The sequence below is a fragment of the Homo sapiens genome, chromosome 9 (genome assembly GCF_000001405.40).
Source record: "Homo sapiens chromosome 9, GRCh38.p14 Primary Assembly".
NCBI lineage: Eukaryota > Metazoa > Chordata > Mammalia > Primates > Hominidae > Homo > Homo sapiens.
The window spans coordinates 34,107,673-34,128,170 of NC_000009.12; the positions used below are offsets into that span (position 1 = coordinate 34,107,673).

General features: G+C 46.2%; 1 protein-coding gene and 2 pseudogenes across 1 annotated transcript in view, besides 3 other annotated features; 1 reads left to right on the forward strand and 2 right to left on the reverse strand.

Annotated features, from left to right (window-relative positions):
* DCAF12 (DDB1 and CUL4 associated factor 12) overlaps window positions 1-19,026 on the reverse strand; it is a 40,312-nt gene extending 21,286 nt beyond the window's left edge. Inside the window, exons 1-2 of the mRNA NM_015397.4 lie at window positions 18,682-19,026; window positions 17,351-17,605 (exon numbers count right to left, since the gene is read on the reverse strand). Of these exons, the coding sequence (NP_056212.1) occupies window positions 17,351-17,605; window positions 18,682-18,759 (333 nt within the window). The 5' untranslated portion in view covers window positions 18,760-19,026. The remainder of the gene's footprint in view (window positions 1-17,350; window positions 17,606-18,681) is intronic.
* On the reverse strand, window positions 1,502-2,295 carry TUBB4BP2 (TUBB4B pseudogene 2; annotated as a pseudogene).
* TUBBP4 (tubulin beta pseudogene 4) lies at window positions 1,527-1,781 on the forward strand (annotated as a pseudogene).
* Window positions 10,563-10,664: a silencer, noted in NCBI's record as "fragment chr9:34118233-34118334 (GRCh37/hg19 assembly coordinates)". NCBI's record gives its function as "represses an EF-1alpha promoter that drives an FKBP-Casp9 reporter gene in an ReSE screen in phorbol 12-myristate 13-acetate-treated (for megakaryocytic differentiation) K562 erythroleukemia cells {active_cell/tissue: K562(+PMA)}" and the evidence as "EXISTENCE:reporter gene assay evidence [ECO:0000049][PMID:32094911]".
* Window positions 18,575-19,276: an enhancer, noted in NCBI's record as "H3K27ac hESC enhancer chr9:34126245-34126946 (GRCh37/hg19 assembly coordinates)". NCBI's record gives its function as "activates a minimal SCP1, AML or CMV promoter by ChIP-STARR-seq in naive H9 embryonic stem cells {active_cell/tissue: H9 hESC(naive)}" and the evidence as "EXISTENCE:reporter gene assay evidence [ECO:0000049][PMID:30033119]".
* Window positions 18,711-18,760: a silencer, noted in NCBI's record as "silent region_19842". NCBI's record gives its function as "represses an Ori minimal core promoter by ATAC-STARR-seq in GM12878 lymphoblastoid cells {active_cell/tissue: GM12878}" and the evidence as "EXISTENCE:reporter gene assay evidence [ECO:0000049][PMID:35858748]".

Consider the following 20,498-nt stretch of genomic DNA (forward strand, 5'->3'; position numbering starts at 1 on the left):
TACATGTTAGACCCTAGGAATTATTAAAGGCATGGTCAGGACTACTAATGACATGAAACATGAAATAAGTCAATATAACACAATATTAGAGATAGCAATAATATGCTACATGAACACAGATTAGGAAGCAGTAAGTTCTGCCTGGGATTCAGAGAAGGTTTCCAAGAGGCCTTCTATTAGGCCACGGACACAAAGAGGAAGACCAACACAGTTTTCTGTCAGTTTGGTCATATTTTATACACTGAATCCTCACCTAACCACACCATGCACAGAAACTTTTAAACGAAACACAATTCCCAGAACACATCATGGCTACTAATATAACTATTAATATTACTAAGTTTTCTGGAATGACCAGAGACATACGACAAGGAAGAATTATTAGTATCTCATGGCTGTTCTCTATACACACACATCCCATTCAGTCCTATTCCTCCCTGCCTTTGCTCTTGCTGCTACCTCTGCCTGAAAGGCTCTCTTCCACCTCTTTACCCTCCAAGATTCAACTTAGAGAAATGCTTTATGGAAAAATCAGTCTTAGCGAAAGGACAGCCCTTAGAAGAGTCAAACTCTTCAGTGATTCAACAGTTCATTCCTTCGGACACTCACTTATTTTCCAGTACTGTTCTAAGTGTTATGAACACAGCTATGAACGAGAGAAATAATATCTGCCCTAATAGATACACCTTATAGCCTAAGAGGCTGAAATAAAATCCTGTCAGCAATTCTCATGTTGAAGTCAAACATGTCAAACCTTTACATAAATAAACCTGCTGCTTACACAGAAGATATATGAAAGGAGAAACTAGGTGAGTCTTAAGTTTAAAATATAAAAAGGGCCGAGCGCAGTGGCTCACGCCTGTAATGCCAGCACTTTAGGAGGCCAAGGCGGGCGGATCACCAGAGCTTGAGAGTTCGAGATCAGCCTGGCTAACATGGTGAAAACCCTACTAAACTTACAAAATTAGCTGGGCATGGTGGCACACGCCTGTAATCTCAGCTACTCGGGAGGCTGAGGCAGAAGAATCGCTTGAACCGAGGAGGCGGAGGTTGCAGTGAGCCGGGATCGAGCCACTGCACTCCAGCCTGGGCAACAGTGTGAGACTGTGAGACTTGGTCTCAAAAAAAATAAATAAATAAATATATATATATATATATGAATGAGGTGGACAAGGTGGCAAGTGCCTGTAGTCCCAACTACTTAGCTACTCAGGAGGCTGAGGCATAAGGATCACAAATTGAGTCCAGCCTGGGCAAAACAGCAAGACCCTATCTCAAACAAATACATATATGTATTTTATGTATATGTTTTTATATATATATATATATATGGTTTTTTTTTTTTTCACTAGGAAAATGGTTTCATTGGAGTGTCTTTAGAGCTGTGATGTCAAGACATGAAGAACAAGTGCACACACAGACATGGCTATCACAGAACAGACTATGGGTGAATAAAAAGTTCACATCACTTCTTCCCTTTACCCAAAAACAGAAGGCTCTAGGCCACCTCCTCATAGGCCCACTCCTCAAACTCTCTCTCCTCCTTGGCTGTGGTATCCTGTACTCGGACATGTTCATGCTGCTCACAGCCTCAGTGAACTCCATCTCATCCATGCCACTTCCCATGTACTAGTGCTGGAAGGCTTTGTGCCAGAAAATGGCTGTGAACTGTACGAGATGCACCTGAACAGCTCCTAGATGGCTGTGTTGTTGCCAATGACGGTGGCAGCCATCTTTAGCCCCCAGGGTGGGATGTTACAGACAGCTGTTTTCACCTTGTGGGGGATTCAATGAACAAAGTAGCTGCTGTCCTTGTTTTGGAGATTAAGCATTTACTTATCCACCTCCTCCGTGCACGTACGGCCCCTGAACATGGCAGCTGCTAAGCAACAGCCACAGAGGGGGGTCCCACGCAGCCATCATATTCTTGGCATCAAACATCCGCTGGATGGGCTTGGGCACCATCGGGGCTCAGTACTGCTGGTTGTCCTGTATGGTCTGGATGAGTCCAGACATGAAGAAGTGCAAGCGGGGGAATAGGACCCTGTTCATGGCCATTGAGCTGGCCCTGGAAGCTCAGGCAGGTGGTGACCCCACTCACAGTGCAGACACCAGGTGGCTCAGGACACCATAGGTGGGTGTGGGCAGCTTTAGGGGTCGGAAGCAGATGTCTTAGAGAGCTTCCTTATCAATGCAAAAGGTCTCGTCTGTGTTTTCTGTGAGCTGGTGGACGGAGAGGGTGACATTGTAGGGCTCTACCACCATGTCCAACACCTTGGGTGGGGGCATTACACTGGATACATATATAAATATTTAAATTATATATAATTATATATGTATATATAATATGTACTTTATATATTTAAATATATATAATATATGTTTATTAAAGACAGAGAGAGAGAAAGGAGTAGCTAGAAGAGTGTCAGAGACTGAGTGGGAGCAGGGGGAAGAAGGGGACAAACCACTCTCAAACTGGCAACTACCTGAGAGCAGCAGACTCCCTGCCTAACTGGCATCATTGCTGATGCATCCCACAAGCATCTGAAACTGAATATGCCCAAAACAAATAACCTTGCTCCTCAAATTGCTCACTTTCCTAACACCACCACTATCTACCCTGTCACTCAAGTGTGGATTTTATCCTAAATTACTCCTTTTCCCTCATTTCCATCATCCTAGTCCTGCCTAACCTACCTCCTAAATATTCTTACAGCTGACTCCTTCCTCTGCTTCCTCACTCATCACTTCTCCTTGGACAACCACAATTAGTCTTTGTGCCTTCAGGCAACACCGCTATCAAAATTATTCTATTATAAGCAGAGTCAACTTCCTAAAAATGGAAATCTTCCCATGCCAGTCCCCAACTAAAAAACATCCAATGACTCCCCGTCACCTAAATCTGAGATACTTAGCATGGCATTAAGACTCTCCTCGGGGCCAGACTTTGGAAGGCCGAGAAAGAAGTATTACTTCAGCCCAGGAATTTATGAACAGCTCAGGCAGCACAGTGAGACCCTGTCTCTACTTGAGCCCAGGAGGTCAAGGCTGCAGTGAGCCATGATGGTGCCACTGCACTCGCACCTGGGTGACAGAGCAAGACCCTGCCTCAACAAAACAAAACAAAACAAAACAAAACCAAGAGTCTCCTCAGTCCAGCCTCTACTATCATCACCTCTTGCCATGGACTTCAAACTCTAGAAATAATTGCTTATAAATATCATACATGAAAAATTCTTCAATGAAATATAATTATTTTGTTTCATGCTCATGCTGTTCACAATGCCAGAAATGATTCTCCTATTCTTTTCTGTTTTTTTTTTTTTTTTTTGAGACCAAGTCTTGCTCTGTCGCCCAGGCTGGAGTGCAGTGGCATGATCTCAGCTCACTGCAACCTCTGCCTCCTGGGTTCAAGCAATTCTCCTGCTTCAGCCCTCCGAGCAGCTGGGACTACAGGCGTGCACCACCACGCCCAGCTAATTTTTATATTTTTACTAAAGATGGGGTTTCACCATATTGGCCAGGCTGGTCTGGAACTCCTGACCTTGTGATCCACCTGCCTCAGCCTCCCAAAGTGCCGGCATTACAGGTGTGAGCCACCGCACCCAGCCTCTCCTACTCTTTTACCTGGCCAACATGTACTTATCTTTCATGATTCGGTTCAGATATGTCCTCTTGGACTACTCTCTAAATGTCCAGGCTGATCAAGTGCCTCTCTTGTAGGCTCCCAAGATATCCCTCTACCCACAACACTTAGACCATATCGCACTGATTTAAAATATTTACTTATTTGTCTTCCTCATAAAGCTATTAACTCTCTCCCAATTCTAAGTGCAGAGAATTTATCTTATTTGATTCTACAATCTTGCCCCAGCAACTACTTAAGCATTTACAACAGTCACCTTTCAGAGGGCCTGCCCAACTACTGTAGTAGGCCCCCACATCCCTGTGAGGGTGAGGCTCTGTAGCTGTTTTATTTGCTATAAGCCTAGACCCCCTGATCACAGCACAGTCTAGAGGGAGTTTCAGGACAATCAGTCCAAAGGCTAGATTGGACTAGGCCATTCAGATTCTTTAGGGAATATGTAACTGGCTGGTGGCACTAGACCAAACCGCCCGGGTGGCCACTTTTTACCAAAGCCAGTCCTTGGAGAAAAGAAAACTTGAGACTTGAAGCATGGGCCAGGCGCAGTGGCTTATGCCTGTAATCCCAGCACTTAGGGAGGCTGAGGCGGGTGGATCACTTCAAGTCAGGAGTTCAAGACTAGCCTGGCAAACATGGTGAAACCCCATCTCTACTAAAAATACAAAAAAAAAAAAATTAGCTGGATGTGGTGGCGGGCGCCTGTAATCCCAGCTACTCGGGAGGCTGAGACAGGAGAATTGCTTAAACTCAGGAGGTGGAGGTTGCAGTGAGCCAAGATCGTGCCATTGCACTCCAGCCTGGGTGACAGTGTGAGACTCCAACTCAAAAAAAAAAAAAAGACAGGAAACATGGACATCCTTGGTTCCTAGTGGCTTTTCAATTCCTGTTTCCACTTCTCTCTGAGATCCAATAATACTTTCTGTTCTTGGGGTTTGTGAACTCGTCTTTCCAATAAATGTGAGTGGGTTTCTTATCCTTTTAAACAAATGATCCCAGGCTGAGCGTGGTGGTTCACGCCTGTAATCCCAGTACTTTGGGAGGCCAAGGCAGGCGGATCACCTGGGGTCAGGACTTCAAGACCAGCCTGGCCAACATGACGAAACCATCTCTACTAAAAATACAAAAATCAGCCAGGTGTGGTGGCGTGAGTCTGTAATCCTGGCTACTCGGGAGGCTGAGGCAGGAGAATTGCTTGGACCCAGGAGGTGGAGGTTGCAATGAGCCGAGATCACACCACTGCACTCCAGCCTGGGCGACAGAGTGAGAATCCATCTCAAAAACAAAAAATAAAAAATATTGGCTGGGTGTGGTGGCTCACACCTGTAATCCCAGTACTTTGGGAGGCCGAGGAGGGCGGATCATCTGAGGTTGGGAGTTCGAGACCAGCCTGACCAACATGGAGAAAGCTTGTCTCTACTAAAAATACAAAATTAGCCGGGTGTGGTGGCACATGCCTGTAATCCTAGCTACTCGGGAGGCTGAGGCAGGTGAATCGCTTGAACCCGGGAGGCAGAGGTTGAGGTAAGCTGAGATCACGCCATTGCACTCCAACCTGGGCAATAAGAGCGAAACTCTGTCTCAAAAAATAAACTAATAATAAACAAATGATCCCTAACCAGATAATCCTCAAATTATTTCCTGAAACAAAATTAATTGCCCACTCACATATTTGTGTTGTGTGAGACAATGCAACCATAACATGTAGCTTTTAGACCAGGGATTCCCAAACTGCTGATCAAAATATTTTTTGAGATACAGTCTCATTCTTGTTGCCCAGGCTGGAGTGCAATGGCATGATCTTGGCTCACCACAACCTCTGCCTCCTGGGTACAAGCAATTCTCCTGCCTCAGCCTCGCCGAGTACCTGGGATTACAGGTGCCTGCCACCACGCCCGGCTAATTTTTGTATTTTTAGTAGAGACAGGGTTTCACTATGTTGGCCAGGCTGGTCTCAAACTCCTCACCTCAGGTGATCTGCCTGCTTTGGCCTCCGAAAGTGCTGGGATTACAGGCATGGGCCACTGTACGCGGCCTGAATTTTTTCTTATTTTTTTCTGAAACAGAGTCTAGCTCTGTCACCCAAGCTGGAATGCAGTGGCGTGATCTTGGCTCCCGGGTTCAAGTGATTCTCGTGCCTCAGCCTCCCAAGTCGCTGGGATGGCAGGTGCACACCACTGTGCCCAGCTAATTTTTGAATTTTTAGTAGAGACAGGGTTTCACCATATTAGCCAGACTGGTCTCAAACTCCTGACCTCAAGTGATCCGCTCATCTCAGCCTCCCAAAGTGCTGGGATTACAAGCATGAGCCACCGCACCAAGGCTGAATTTTCTTTAAAAAACAATACAAAACACTACAAAACAAAAACAATTCCCAGGCCTTACCCTAAAACTCTTCCATTAGGCATTTCTGAATTTGCATGTTTACTGCAGCATTATTCACAATAGCCAAGATACGGAATCAGCCGAAGTGTGCATCAGTGAATAAATGCATAAAGAAAATGTGGCACAGGCCAGGCGCAGTGGCTCATGCCTGTAATCCCAGCACTTTGGGAGGCCAAGGCAGGCGGATCATGAGGTTAGGAGATCGAGACCATCCTGGCTAACACAGTGAAACCCCGTCTCTACTAAAAATACAAAAAATTAGCCGGGCGTGGTGGTGGGTACCTGTAGTCCCAGCTACTCAGGAGGCTGAGGCAGGAGAATGGCGTGAACCTGGGAGGCGGAGCTTGCAGTGAGCCGAGATCATGCCACTGCACTCCAGCCTGGGCGACAGGGCAAATACTCCGTCTCAAAAAAAAAAATGTGGCACAGATACACAATGCAATACTGTTTAGCTATAAAAAAGAATGAAATCCTTTGGACAACATGGATGAACCTAGAGGACATTATGTTAAGTGAAACAAGCCAAGTATAGAATACTGAATGACCTCACTTATATGTGGAACCTTAAAAAGTTGATCTTGGCTGGATGCGGTGGCTCACACCTGTAATCCCAGTACTTTGGGAGTCTGAGGCTGGTGGATCACCTGAGGTCAGGAGTTTGAGACCAGCCTGGCCAATATGGTGAAACCTTGTCTCTACTAAAAATCCAAAAATTAGCTAAACTAAGAGTGTGCCCCCAACCTCACCCTCATTATTGCAAAGGAATGACAATGAACCACTTGAAGGATAGAGCCACCCTGCTTCTTCATGGGAAGAAACAGGATGTGGATGAGCTGCCACAGAATCTCTTCCCAAGCTCTCTGACAAGGGTCCAAGGATTCATGCAGCTCCACTAACATTTCCCAGAATGAGGCTGCTCCACATTAACCTACTGGGATCCCTGCCAGAAACTAGCAGCGCGGCAAGGTAAGCTCGAGGCTCGGGCTCCCTGCAGTTTACATTCTAGGATGGGGGGAAAGAGACATGTAAGACTAGTGAGTCTATCTCTGCATGCATTCATGTGTATCTAGACAAATGTAAATGAGTGTACACAAAGACAAAGATGGCTTAAAAAAAAGGAGTCAGATGTGGTAGCAGGAACCTATCGTCCCAGCTATTTGGGAGGCTGAAGCATGAGGATCTCATGGGCCCAGGAGGTCAAGGCTTCAGTGAGCTATAATTGTGCCATTACCCTCCAGCCTGGGTGACAGAGCAAGACCTTGCCTCTAAAAACAAAAAACACAAAAACAAAAAAAAGAGGAAGGGGTAACCTTACAATGTTTCTAAAATTCAAGGGTGTTTCAGACTGGAGCCCAATGAGAAAGGAAAGTAATTCTACGCAGGTCACACAGACAACAAGACACACTATGTTGCAGTCAGTAAAAGACAGGTGGGCAACCTAAGTCTGTGGAGAGGTTGGGAAAGGAAAGACAAGTGAAATCAAAGCAGAAGAATCTATTCACTATCCCAATCTGAGAAAGTGGGGAGGAGCAAAGGAGAGAGCCAAGACCAAGAAACACAACAGAAAATGGACAGACAATATGTATCAAACATTAAAAATATGTATAGCGGCTAGGCGCGGTGGCTCACACCTGTAATCCCAGCACTTTGGGAGGCCGAGGCGGGCGGATCACGAGGTCAGGAGATCGAGACCATCCTGGCTAACATGGTGAAACCCCGTCTCTACTAAAAATACAAAAAATTAGCCGGGCGGCTGGGCATGGTGGCCTGCACCTGTAGTCCCAGCTACTTGGGAGGCTGAGGCAGGAGAATTACTTGAACCCGGTAGGCGGAGGTTGCAGTGAGCCGAGATAGCGCCACCGCACTCCAGCCTGGCGACAGAGCAAGACTTCGTCTCAAAAAAAAAAAAGTATATATATACACATAGCAGGACCCTATAGTCTCTGCAGTCTCCCCATAGACATATATATATAGCTTGTAATACCAATTTTAGGAACTTACACTGAGGAACTAGTGATGGGTGAACAGTTTGAACTACTGTACATCTTTTTTAATTATAGAGACAGGGTGCCACTTTGTTGCCCATGTTGTAATAAAACCCACCTGGGCTCAGGCAATCCTCCCGCCTTAGTCTCCCAAAGTGCGGGATTACAGACATAAGCCATCAAGCCTTGCCACTACATACCTTTAACGGCGATAAGGTAGTTCACTGCATGAATATACTGACATTAATTGAATTAATTCCCTATTATTGAACATTTATGCCACGTCCAAATTTTTAGTAATACAAAACATGGCAATGAACATTCTTTTATTGAAATCCAGGGCCTCCTCTTAGTACTGGGGAATAAGGAGGAACAAAATTAAATAAATAAATCCAGGGCTGGGTGCGGTGGCTCACGCCTGTAATCCTAGCACTTTGGGAGGTGGGCAGATCAACTGAGGTCAGGAGTTCAAGACCAGCCTGGCAAACATGGCAAACCCTGTCTCTACTAAAAATATAAAAATTAGCCGGGCATGGTGGCAGTCGCCTTTAATCCCAGTTACTCGGGAGGCTGAGGTAGGAGAATCGCTTGAACCCAGGAGGGGCAGGCTGCAGAGATCGCGCCACTGAACTCCAGCCTGGGCGACAGAGAGAGTCCGTCTCAAAAATAAATAAATAAATAATACAAATAAATAAATAAATCTGGCTGGGCACAGTGGCTCACACCTGTAATCCCAGCACTTTGGGCGGTCAAGGCAGGCAGATCACTTGAGGTCAGGAGTTCAAGATCAGCCTGGCCAACAAAGTGAATGAAACCCTGTCTCCATTAAAAATACAAAAATTAGCCGGGCATAGTAGTGCGTACCTGTAGTCCCAGCTACTTGGGAGGCTGAAGCAGGAGAATCGCCTGAACTCAGGTGGCGGAGGTTGTAGTGAGCCAAGATGGCACCACTCAGCCTGGGCAACAGGGCAAGGTTCTGCCTCAAATAATAATAATAAATTAATAAATAAATCCGGCCGGGCACGGTGGCTCACGCCTGTAATCCTAGCACTTGGGAGGCTGAGGGGGGCAGATCACTCTAGGTCAGAAGTTTGAGACCATCCTGGCCAACATGGCGAAACGCCATCTCTACTAAAAATACATAAATTAGCCGGGCACAGTGACGGGTGTGTAATCCCAGCTACTCGGGAGGATGAGGCAGAAGAATCGCTTGAACCCAAGAGGCGGAGGTTGCAGTAAGCCGAGATCGTGCCCCTACACTCCAGCCTGGGCAATAGCGCGAGACTCCGTCTCAAAAATCAATCATCAATCAGTCCACGTGTCTGCGCTATGCCAAGATCTTAGACACTCTGAGCTGTGAATCTAAACTGTTCCTACACAAGATGGACTACACTACTAGCTAGCTAAGATAAGTAATGGTACTTCATAATAGGTCTTGAATTCTGATGTTTCGCCACAGAATCATGACTTCGTGGAAGGAGGGCCACATTAGGATTTACAATTATTTTGGATTTAAGTGACATATTCTTATAAGCTTTATATCTAGCAGTAAATTGATTTCTAATCCTTGATTTTTTTTTTTTTTGAGATGGAGCTCAAAAAAAAAAGGTGCCCACCACCACGCCCGGCTAATTTTTTGTATTTTTAGTAGAGACAGGGTTTCACCGTGTTAGCCAGGATGGTCTTGATCTCCTCACCTCGTGATCTGCCTGCCTCGGCCGGCCAAAGTGCTGGCATTACAGGTGTGAGCCACCGCGCCCGGCCTCTAATCCTTGATTTTGGAGGTCTCTGTTAAAAATGGACTGAATCCTAAAAGCCAGCTTTGGCAAGACACCTTGATTTTACCTAGTACCCACCAAAGTCACCACATAAACTTTGACAACATACAACAGAGGTTTAGCTACCTTAAGCATCTATCTAAACAAATATTTGTTAAAAAGAAATTCTTGCTGGGTGCAGTGGCTCACACCTGTAATCCCAGCACTTTGGGAGGCCCAGGCGGGAGGATCACCTGAGGTTGGGATTTCGAGACCAGCCTCACCAACATGGAGAAACCCCATCTCCACTAAAAATACAAAATTAGCTGGGTGTGGTGGCGCATGCCTGTAATTCCAGCTACTCGGGAGGCTGAGGCAGGAGAACTGCTTGAACCCAGGAGGCGGAGGTTGCAGTGAGCCGAGATCGCGCCATCACACTCCAGCCTGGGCAACAAGAGCGAAACTCTGTCTCAAAAAAACAAACAAAAAAAGAAATTATTCTTGGACTGTTAAATCAGAACCCTATTTAGTATTGCTTTTATATGTTTACAAATCCCATCACCTATTTCCAAGTGATACCAATCTGAAAAATGAAAGGGGAAATAAAAGGATTAGTCCAATAGTCTGATTTCATAAGAATCTTTATTTCTTCCTACCTATAGAAGATGGAAATTGATTTATTTCTTTTGTTTTTTTTCCAAGATGGAAAAAAAGACAGACTCACTCTGTCGCCCAGGCTGGAGTGCAGTGGCACAATCTCAGTTCACTACAACCTCTGCCTCCCGGGTTCAAGCGACTGTCCTGACTCAGACTCCCGAGTAGCCGGGACCACAGGCATGCGGCATCATGCCCGGCTAATTTTTGTGTTTTTAGTAGAGACGGGATTTCATCATGTTGGCCGGGCTGGTCTCGAACTCCTGGCCTCAAGTGATCCACCTGCCTCAGCCTCCCAAAGTGCCGGGATTACCGGAGTGAGCCACTGCCCCCGGCCTGAAATTGATTTCTATATACTCAAGGATGCTAACAGTTAACGTGTAAGTTATTCAGGAGAAAATCTGTACACAGGAAACTTTCAGGTTTTTGTTCCCTGGTGACATTTCCAGGTATAAGGCCTTCTACTCAGAATTAACAGGGAGCTTTATCCCTAACTTGCAAACTACTGGAGAGCAGAGACGGTAATTACGTATCTGGTATAAGAGATTATAAACTCTTAACAATAGTGTTAAATAATGATAATATGGCCGGGCGTGGTGGGTCATGCATATAATCCCAGCTCTTTGGGAGGCAGAGGTGGGCAGATCACCTGAGGTCAGGAGTTCAAAACCAGGCTGGCCAATATGGCAAGACCCCATCTCTACTAAAAATACAAAAATTAGCCGGGCGTGGTGGCACACACCTGTAATCCCAGCTACTTGGTGGTGCTGAAGCAGAAGAATCGCTTGAACCTGGGAGGCGGAGATTGCAGTGAGCCAAGATTGCGCCAGTGCACTGCAGCCTGGGCAACAGAGTAAGACCCTGTCTCAAAAAAGAAAATAATAATAATAATAATATCTCTCTTATCTCACACTTACTTCCTAAGTATAACAGCATTAAGACTTGAGGACCAGGACCATATGGTTGTGTATTTGCCCATTGAGAATCAAGAGCCCTCACCAGGGGCTATTTTGAGCTCCAAAAAACTCACTGTGTGACTAAGAGGAGCAACTCCTTTTGTTGCATATTCTACTACTGTATTTTTGAGCCCCTACTTCGGTCCTTCTCACCGTCATTTTAGGATAAGAAAACGCAAGGTTCATCTAGCTGAAATAACAGTTTTAAAAGATGAGTGTTTATTGTACAAACGATACTTTATCAACAATACAGAAATTTAAAATGCAAGAAAGATCACTCAGAATTTTCTCTCTTTTAAAATCTGTTTTTCATTTGTCAGGTTCCTGTTTAGTCTTCAACCACATATATATTTTAATTGTGCACAGCTATTATCAGCAGAGACAGGATTTTGTATCTCATTTCATTAAACGTACTGAATTCTTCGCACATTACAGTCTCCATAATTATGTTAATGTCTGCATAATACCATCCAGATTTATCACTATTTACTTAAGTATTCGATTGTTAGTATTTAGATTAAGTAGCTTCCAATTATTATCTTGTTAAAAACGACTTTTCCTTTGGATAAATTCTCAGGTGTGAACATTTTAGGCAAAAGGGTATAACATTTTTAGGCTCTTCTTTCAACAAATACTATGTACTTTTGCGGTTTTTTTTTTTTTTTTTGAGACAGGGTCGTGCTCTGTCACCCAGGCTAGAGTGCAGTGGTGTAATCCCATTTAACTGCAGCCTCCACTTCCCAGACTCAAGCCATCCTCCCACTTCAGCCTCCTGAGTAGCTAGGACCAAAGGCACAAGCCACCATGCCCAGCTAATTCTTAAATATTTTGTAGAGATGGGGTCTCACTACATTGCCCAGGCTGGTCTGGTCTTGAATCTCTGGGCTCAAGTGATCTTCCTGTCTCAGCTTCCCAAAGTGCTGGATTACAGTCATGAGCCACTATACCCAGCCAATACTGGCCAACATGGTGAACCCTGTCTCTACTAAAAAACAAAAAAATTAGCCGGGCTTGGTGGTGGGCGCCTATAATCCCAGCTACTCAAGAGGCTGAGGCAGGAGAATCACTTCAACCTGGGAGGCGGAGGTTGCAGTGAGCTGAAACTGAGCCACTGCACTTCAGCCTGGGCAACAAGAATGAAAGTCCGTCTCAAAAAAAAAAAAAAAAAAAAAAAAAAAAAAGGCCAGGTATGATGGCATGTGATATAGTCCCAGCTACTCAGGATTCTGGGGCAGGAGGATCCCTTGGGCCCAGGAATTTGAAGCTGCAGTGAGCCATGACTGCACCACTGTACTCCACCCTGAGTGCAAAATGCTGTCTTGAAAAACAACAAAGTGGCTGGGCATGGTGGCTCACGTTTGTAATCCCAGCACTTTGGGAGGCTGAGGCGGGCAGATTACATGAGGTCAGGCGTTTGAGACCAGCCTGGCCAGCATGGTGAAACCCCGTCTCTACTAAAAATACAAAAATTGGCCAGGCATGGTAGCACGCGCCTGTAGTCCCAGCTAGTCGGGGGGCTGAGGCACAAGAATCGCTTGAACCCGGAGGCAAAGGTTACAGTGAGCCAAGATCGTGCCACTGCACTCCAGCCTTGGCAACACAGCAAGACGCGGTCTCAAAAAAAAAAAAAAAAAAGAAAACAAAGCAACCCTGACATAATGGGTTAGCCTGATACTCTCAGGTAGGCCTTGGTGTCCTAGCGTAAATAAATAATTTCAGAGAATATCAACATCAGACAAGGCCACTCTGCAACTGTGATAAAGACAAAAACAAGACCACTCTATAATCATACCTGAACACAGACCAAAACAGGAACACTGGCCAGGCAAGGTGGCTCACACCTGTAATCTCAGCACTTTGGGAGGCTGAGGCAGGTGGATCACCTGAGGTCAGGAGTTCGAGACCAGCCTGGCCAACATGGTGAAACCCTGTCTCTACTAAAAATACGAAAATTAGCTGTGCGTGGTGGCATGTGCCCGTACTCCCAGCCACTCGGGAGGCAGAGGTGAGAGAATCACTTGAACCTGGGAGACGGAGGTTGCAGTGAGCCAAGATCATGCCACTGTACTCCAGCCTGAGCAACAGAGCGAGACTCCATCTCAAAAAACAAACAAACAAACAAAAAAACCCAAGAACACTGACTAAACCACAAAAAGATCAAACATCCCCTTAACCTGGCTAATATAAATGACTGTTTCATCTTTATCAATTACAGCTTTAACCTCCTGCTAGATAAGATTAAGATACCCAAACATAGAATTTGCCCGTCGTGACAGTATCCATCTGGAGCAAAGTGCTATATCCTTAAGCCGTCCCCCAAATCACGTGCAACAAGTCCCAGTGTTGTAACTCCTTTCCAGCACTCTTACCGAGAGGTCCCTCGCTCTCTTATGGTGAAGGTTCTCCTAGGTACAACAAGCAACTATATCTGACTTGTTCTGCTACAAGAACAGTCCCTGGTAGTCTTTGACTGGAGAGTGCTGACAATGGGAAATAAGAGTTCACGTCCAAAATTAAATACCTCCAACTGTGTAGATCATCACTCTGCCGATTGCCATCCTTCTCCTCAAATCACACCCCACCCCCAGCCCCTTCAAGAGCCCTCTTTTCGGCCAGGCGCGGTGGCTCATGCCTGTAATCCCAGCACTTTGGGAGGCCAAGGCAGGCGGATCACGAGGTCAGAAGATCGAGACCATCCTGGCCAACACGGTGAAACCCTATCTCTACTAAAAATACAAAAATTAGCTGGGTGTGGTGGCAGGTACCTGTAATCCCAGCTACTCAGGAGGCTGAGGCGGGAGAATCGATTGAACCCAGGAGGCAGAGGTTGCAGTGAGCTGAGATCGCGCCACTGCACTCCAGCCTGGTGACATAGCGAGACTCTGTCTCAAAAAAACCAAAAAAGCAAACAAACAAAAATAAAGTCCTCCTTTCTTGAATTCTTTTCTGTATTCTCCCGGTTTTCCTGAGTTCCCTGCTCCCCCGCAGCAGTTCTTCTTGCCCTGTAAATGTACATGTTTTCCAAGGTTCTCTCCTTAGCTTATCTGTCAGTATCAGTGGTTCTTAACCATTTTTGGCTCATAGTACTCTCTTTCAAAATCTAAGGACAAAAACTAAGAACGACTTCCCACACCACCCCCCCAAAATCTTGCCCAGAAAGTACACATATAATCAAAACTTTGCAATTTTAGGGAAAGTTTACACAACTCAAGCCAGGAATGCCTGCTCTCTACTGTCTTTCCCATGATAATGTAACAATTTCAATAATTCCTTCTACATAAATGACTGCCAAATCATTAACTTCAATCCTTACTCTCTGCCAAGCTTCAACTAATTGATGAAAAGGACAAAACCCAAATCTGTTCCTTAACATTCACCCTGCCATCTTTCCAGTTATATAGGTTCAAGACATTAGTATCAATTTTTTTTTTTTTTTTTTTTTGAGACGGAGTCTCACTCTGTTGCCCAGGCTGGAGTAGAATGGCACAATCTCAGCTCACTACAACCTCCGCCTCCCGGGTTCAAGCAATTCTCCTGCCTCAGCCTTCCGAGTAGCTGGGATTACAGGCACCCACCATCATGCCCAGCTAATTTGTTTGTACTTCTGTAGAAACAGGGTTTCACCATGTTGGCCAGGCTGGTCTCGAACTCCTGACCTCAGGTGATCCGCCCGCCTTGGCCTTCCAAAGTGCTGGGATTACAGGTGTGAGCCACCTTGCCCTGCGAAAGAAAATCTTTTTAACACTAGGCTCAAATTCCTACACGGCAACAGTTGGTTAAAGTCAAGAATGCCTTCTGTAGTTCTTTGCAGCCCCTACTACTCCTTACTGTCTTGCGCCTAGCAAACTTTTCTTCACTTAGCTTTTCTGTCTGGCTCCGCAGCCAATCTGAATTTGCGTAAGTCTAAACCATGAACATATACCTAACCCATCCCAGCTGCCAGATCCATGTTCTAATTAAGGTTATACCACCTCTACTTAAGCAGTTGAGTAAAAATATGACTTTATTGTTATTAATGATAAAAACAACAGTGGCTATCCTTGCTGTTACTGCTGTGCTAGCTGGGGCCAAGAAATCTGGGGATTGAATGACTACCCTAGTTTGATTGTTAGCCCACAGCACAGGGACATTCTACATCAAAACTTTCCTATTGAGAATACAACATAATCTCTCCCACCTCTGAAATCTTCACACATTATCCAAAGACAATTCCAATTTTTAAATAATTTTCCTCTCTTCAAATTGTGGGAAAAGGTTATGGAAATCATTTTTACCGCTACTAGTACTTTTAAATAAGTAAGATATTGCTCACTCAGAATATTTCCCAGATGCATGCAGACACCTTAGCACCAGATATTATCACTCCCATTTTGCAGATGCAAAAACAAAAGCACAAATAAGGGAATCATTTGCCCAATGTCACAAAGTTCAGAGAAGAGCACTATTCCTAGTTCCCTGCTTTGGTTCTGGAAGCTAAGCAAAAACAAACAAATACTAACTATAAAATGAAAACAGCTCCCCTTGCCCCAAACACTAGGTTATGAGGATTAGGAAGACAGAAAGAGGTAGGAATTAAGAGTAGGTTAAATTATTACTTATTATGCTCGCCTTCAAAATAGTGTCAATAAATTCAACAAGCAAGAGGCTATGATGATTAATTCAGTTTACAATTCAGTAATATTTGCTAGGCTAAACACTATGATGCACGTGCGGGGAGTGGAATGAACTCTTCCAAGCAGGAGACTCTTTTTCTACTCCAAGTGACAAGGATGACAGTTCTTAACCACGAGTGGGCAGCTGGAGAGACCAAGAAAAGGAAGTTCTGTGGAGGCCCGTTGCCACCACTTAGTTTTGAAAGGCTTCTGGGTAAGACAAGCGACTCCTCAACAGAAGAGGAAACGAAAGGTTGGCCCCAACCACCATGGTATTATTTCCTTCCTCAAAACTGTTTAAATTTTTGCCTATGTCCTTTATAAACAGACCAACCACCATGGTATTATTTCCTTCCTTAAAACTGTTTAAATTTTTGCCTATGTCCTTTATAAACAGACACTTCTCCTAGTACTTAAGACTTTCTTGATCTAGAGCAATCTTCTCTCTTTTAATGATCCAAAATGTGTTTCATTCCAGGGTCAATTTACTCACACATTATGACATTACTTGTCCATTCACACAGGGGAGGTGAAAACCGAGGGAGGGCTGGGCGTAATCATTTCCCACCCCTAGGCCCTAGGCCCTGCCTCTTTTCATTTGCCAGTCTTGTGACATCATGCTATTCGTGGACTCTATTCCAAACGTTTCTGCTCTTTGACTTATTTTATCCTGGCCTATAATTGGGTTGGTTACAAAGCTTACTGAGAAATTTTTCACTTCATTCATTTATAACTGTCTTTCTATTCACTCTTAAAAAGGCTACTTTCCAAAGAGCTAATGCTTATACCCTGAAATATACTACCAGACACACATTCCCTGCCTTCCTTATAGGAAACAGTTCATGTATTTCTCATATTTCAGTTTATACATTTTTAGATTCTGTTCACTAAAAAACAGCCAAGTGTGCTATTTTAAATACTTCGACATACGTTCTTAGGCTGTTTTCACTATTATGTATCCTGAATGATGCTCTAAGCATCATTATTTCTTAAATCTTTCCTTTGAGGCCTATGACTTAAAAACCAGCATAAAAATATGAGGCAAAAACAAACAAACAAACAAACAACCCTCTAGAAGCAGCACATCCAGAGAGGGCCTGAAGAAATACACTCCTTTGAGGACTTATCAGAAAAGAAATGTATGAGTGAAAAAAGGAACACGAAAAGAGGAAGAAGTCACCAACGGGAAAGAATGGAAAGGAGAGTAAGGCAAGTCCCTCCTAAAAGAAACAGACGGGAAAACTAGCAGAGGTTCTAGAGCAAGTGGAGCAATATATCCACGACCTAGGAGAGAGGTCACATCCCCCCAGGCACTTACCGTGTTGCATTTTGTGCCACACACCACTTGCCTATGATTCAACCACTGAGATGCAAACACTTTATTAAGGGTCCCAAGGTGAAACTCTCTCTCCTTCAGGAGACTGGGAAGTTGCTGTGCTGCATAACCATGCAACACTCGAGAGTAGCTGGTTTCATTCTGTAGCCTGACTTCCCGGTTCTTCAAGTAGTATACTAAGGATCTCTTCACAGGAGGAAGTCTTTTCCTTTTGTGAAGCGAGTGATCCCAGCCAAACTGTGGAAACAACATTAGAAATCAGGGCTTTGGCTACTCTTCTTCAGAACAGATCCTACTGTATTACAGAAATCACCAACTCATAACTCATACTGCAGAATTTACAAACAACACAAATACAAACACAAGAGAACAAGAATCTCAATCCAGAAAGTCGTTTAACTCTTCCAACATTAAAAAGATGTTGCTCACAGTCAAACTTACCAATGTGAATTACAAGGGCTGAAAGTCAAGGGAATGAATGCAGAATAGAACAGACTAAAAGGTTTACTAGACATTTTAGGAGTGAAAGATTGAAGGAAATGAGAGGTAGAGTGATTCCCATACCGACATGGGCTGCATCTCTACCCAGCCCCCTTCTCCCTCTCAGTCTGTACTCCCACTGGAGCACGGAAGATACAGTCCAAGGAGCCAGACCTGGCTCCCAGGTCTTCCAGGGATGCATCATCAATGACCGTTCCTCTGTCATCATGCCCGCGCTCCAGGCAGTTGCAGAATTCGAAAAATCAACCGCCAACGGGGTAGTAGGCCCCCGGGAAATCAGAGGCCATATCTATGTCCAAGAAGGCCTTCCCCTCCAAAGGGGGCGGCATAGAGATGATACCTGGGAACTGTTGTTTCTTTTGGGGTCCAAACGCCGAAAGGCCCAGCTCAGGGTTGGGTATACATATAGGGAGACTACTTCCTTCTTCCAGGAGGGACGCAATCATCCCAGCTTCCTAGGGCCCATGGAAGGTAGAGTTCACTCTACCAGAGTTTGTTTCCGATTCCCTTAACTTCGGTTTCCCCTTCCTCCAAAGCCAAGATTCTGGTTTCTTTTCAAGCCCTATCCACGAATGCAGGCCTCCCGCGGATTATGTCCCATTCCTGAGTTCCCCTTTGGCTCCTCACCGCCCTGGCCTATCTGCCCTCCAGTTAACGAGGGTCCAGTCCTGACCCTATAGGCCCTGAACCCATTCCTGTTTTGCCTCTGACTGCAGACCCTGGACCCCGATTCCCGTCGCAGGATCTGCGGACCCTAAGCCCATCTTGGTTCCTCAGCCTCACCACCCAGGTGCCGGCCTCTCAACCCTCACCTGCGGGCCCTGAGCGTCGCTCCCAGCTCCCGGCGAGGCGGGCGCTTTCCGCTTCCTGCTAACTACTTTCCGGGCCATAGTGGGCAGCGCCGCCGCGGCCCCGCAGCCACATGGGGCGGGGGAAGCGAAGGATAGCAGGACGGCGGGTCATATACTGGGCCCCGGGGCCGCGCACCTTAGTGCGCCCGGCCCGGAAAATGGCCCGGACCCGGAGCGGCAGCAGAAAAAAGATAGGCGGAAAGAAAGGAAAGAGAGAGGAAGGACTTGAGCCGGGAAAGGGAAGGGGAAGCGAGAATGAGCGGCTTTCCGACGGCAGAGCCTGCAAGGACGGCGAGCGGCTAGAACCAAAACACCCCCTCCCCCTTGCTCGCGCGCCGTCACCCTTGCGCAGCCGCACTTCGGATAGCGTCGCCACGGAAACACCGCCGGAACGAGATGGGCGGGATCTAGGGGTTGGAAGATAGTTCTCTGGTGTTTCCCGGCCGCCGCCAGGCCATTTTCAACGGTTGTTTGGCTACTGCTGGATGGAAGTGGACGAGCTGGGGCCAAGGGAATCTGGCTTCTGGCCGCCGACCTCCGACCCCAGCCCGCCTATCCGCAGGCACCCGGAAGTGAGGACCACCAGTGCTGCTGGGGGAAGGAATCCTCCCTAGTGCAGGCCTTAACCCGGTTACCTCCCATCTGGCACCAAACGTTTCCCTGAATCTGTCACAAACCGTGCCCTGGCTCCAAGGGCTGGACAGGGGGGTGGGGGGGTGGGGGGCAGGAACCGCTCCCACCCTCGAGGTGAAGTCCAGTCAGGAAGTCAGGGCAGTGTGGCCAGACTTTCCCACCACTGAGAACCTGCCCAGCACAACCAACCCAGGCCGCCCTACGAGTCTCTGGCTACCCTCTTCCCACCGCTGGGTAGCCCTGAGGCTCCATTCTCCGCTCTGTCTCCTCCTGATCCTTTCTCCTGTCCGAAATGCTTCAGCCCCTCAGTCAGTTTCAGCTCCTCAGTCACCTTCCCCTTACGGTGCAACTTCACCATTCCCTTTAGATTTCCATGACCTGCCATCTAAACCACATGGTCTTTTGTGCTTTATGAAGTAGTCATCACGCTGTAAACTTATCTGTAGCTGCCTGCCTCACTCTTGGATTCAGGTTGCGTCTCCATTAGGGCAGGTCGGGAATTCTGAACTACAGGAAAGAGAGTGGTCATTTTTGGCTTGCCAGTCCAGTTAGAGCTGGCATTGGCCTCCAAACAAGGGGGCTTCATCAGGATCACCCTTGCCAACATTTTTGGAAGATCCTGAAGGAATATGACTGCCAGCCTTCGCTTTCCTCAAGCAAACAAACCCTCTGAGGAAGCAGGATGCTCTTGCTTGGGGCTGATTGGCCTCAGGCTGTGGTGCCCAGTTACCTGCTGGTCACTTCAGGCTTCAGGCCTCAGGCCTCATACCTCCAAGGAGCTCTGTTGGACCATCTCAAGTTCTGTCAACAAGGAGATTTGGATTTGTTTTCCAAGCCGAATCAAAGACCAGATTGAAGCAGGGTCTCCTGCCATCCCAAGTCGGCACTACCACTAACCCCTAATGTCTTGCGAAAGGCAGCTCCATCTTATTTGGTCAGGCCTGTCCCTTTAGAGATATGCACATAGTGAGTGGGTCAGGAGTGGGTCAGCTTTCTTTTTTGAGTCTGTTCTAATTCTGTCTTGCCCCGCAATGCTCTGGATGACCCAAGAGCCCCTGGGCAAGAGTCTGGAATCCTTTGAGAATCTCTAGGCTCAGATTGGGCTGTCAGTGCCAAGAGGGGCACACTGGGCACTGCTGCAGTCT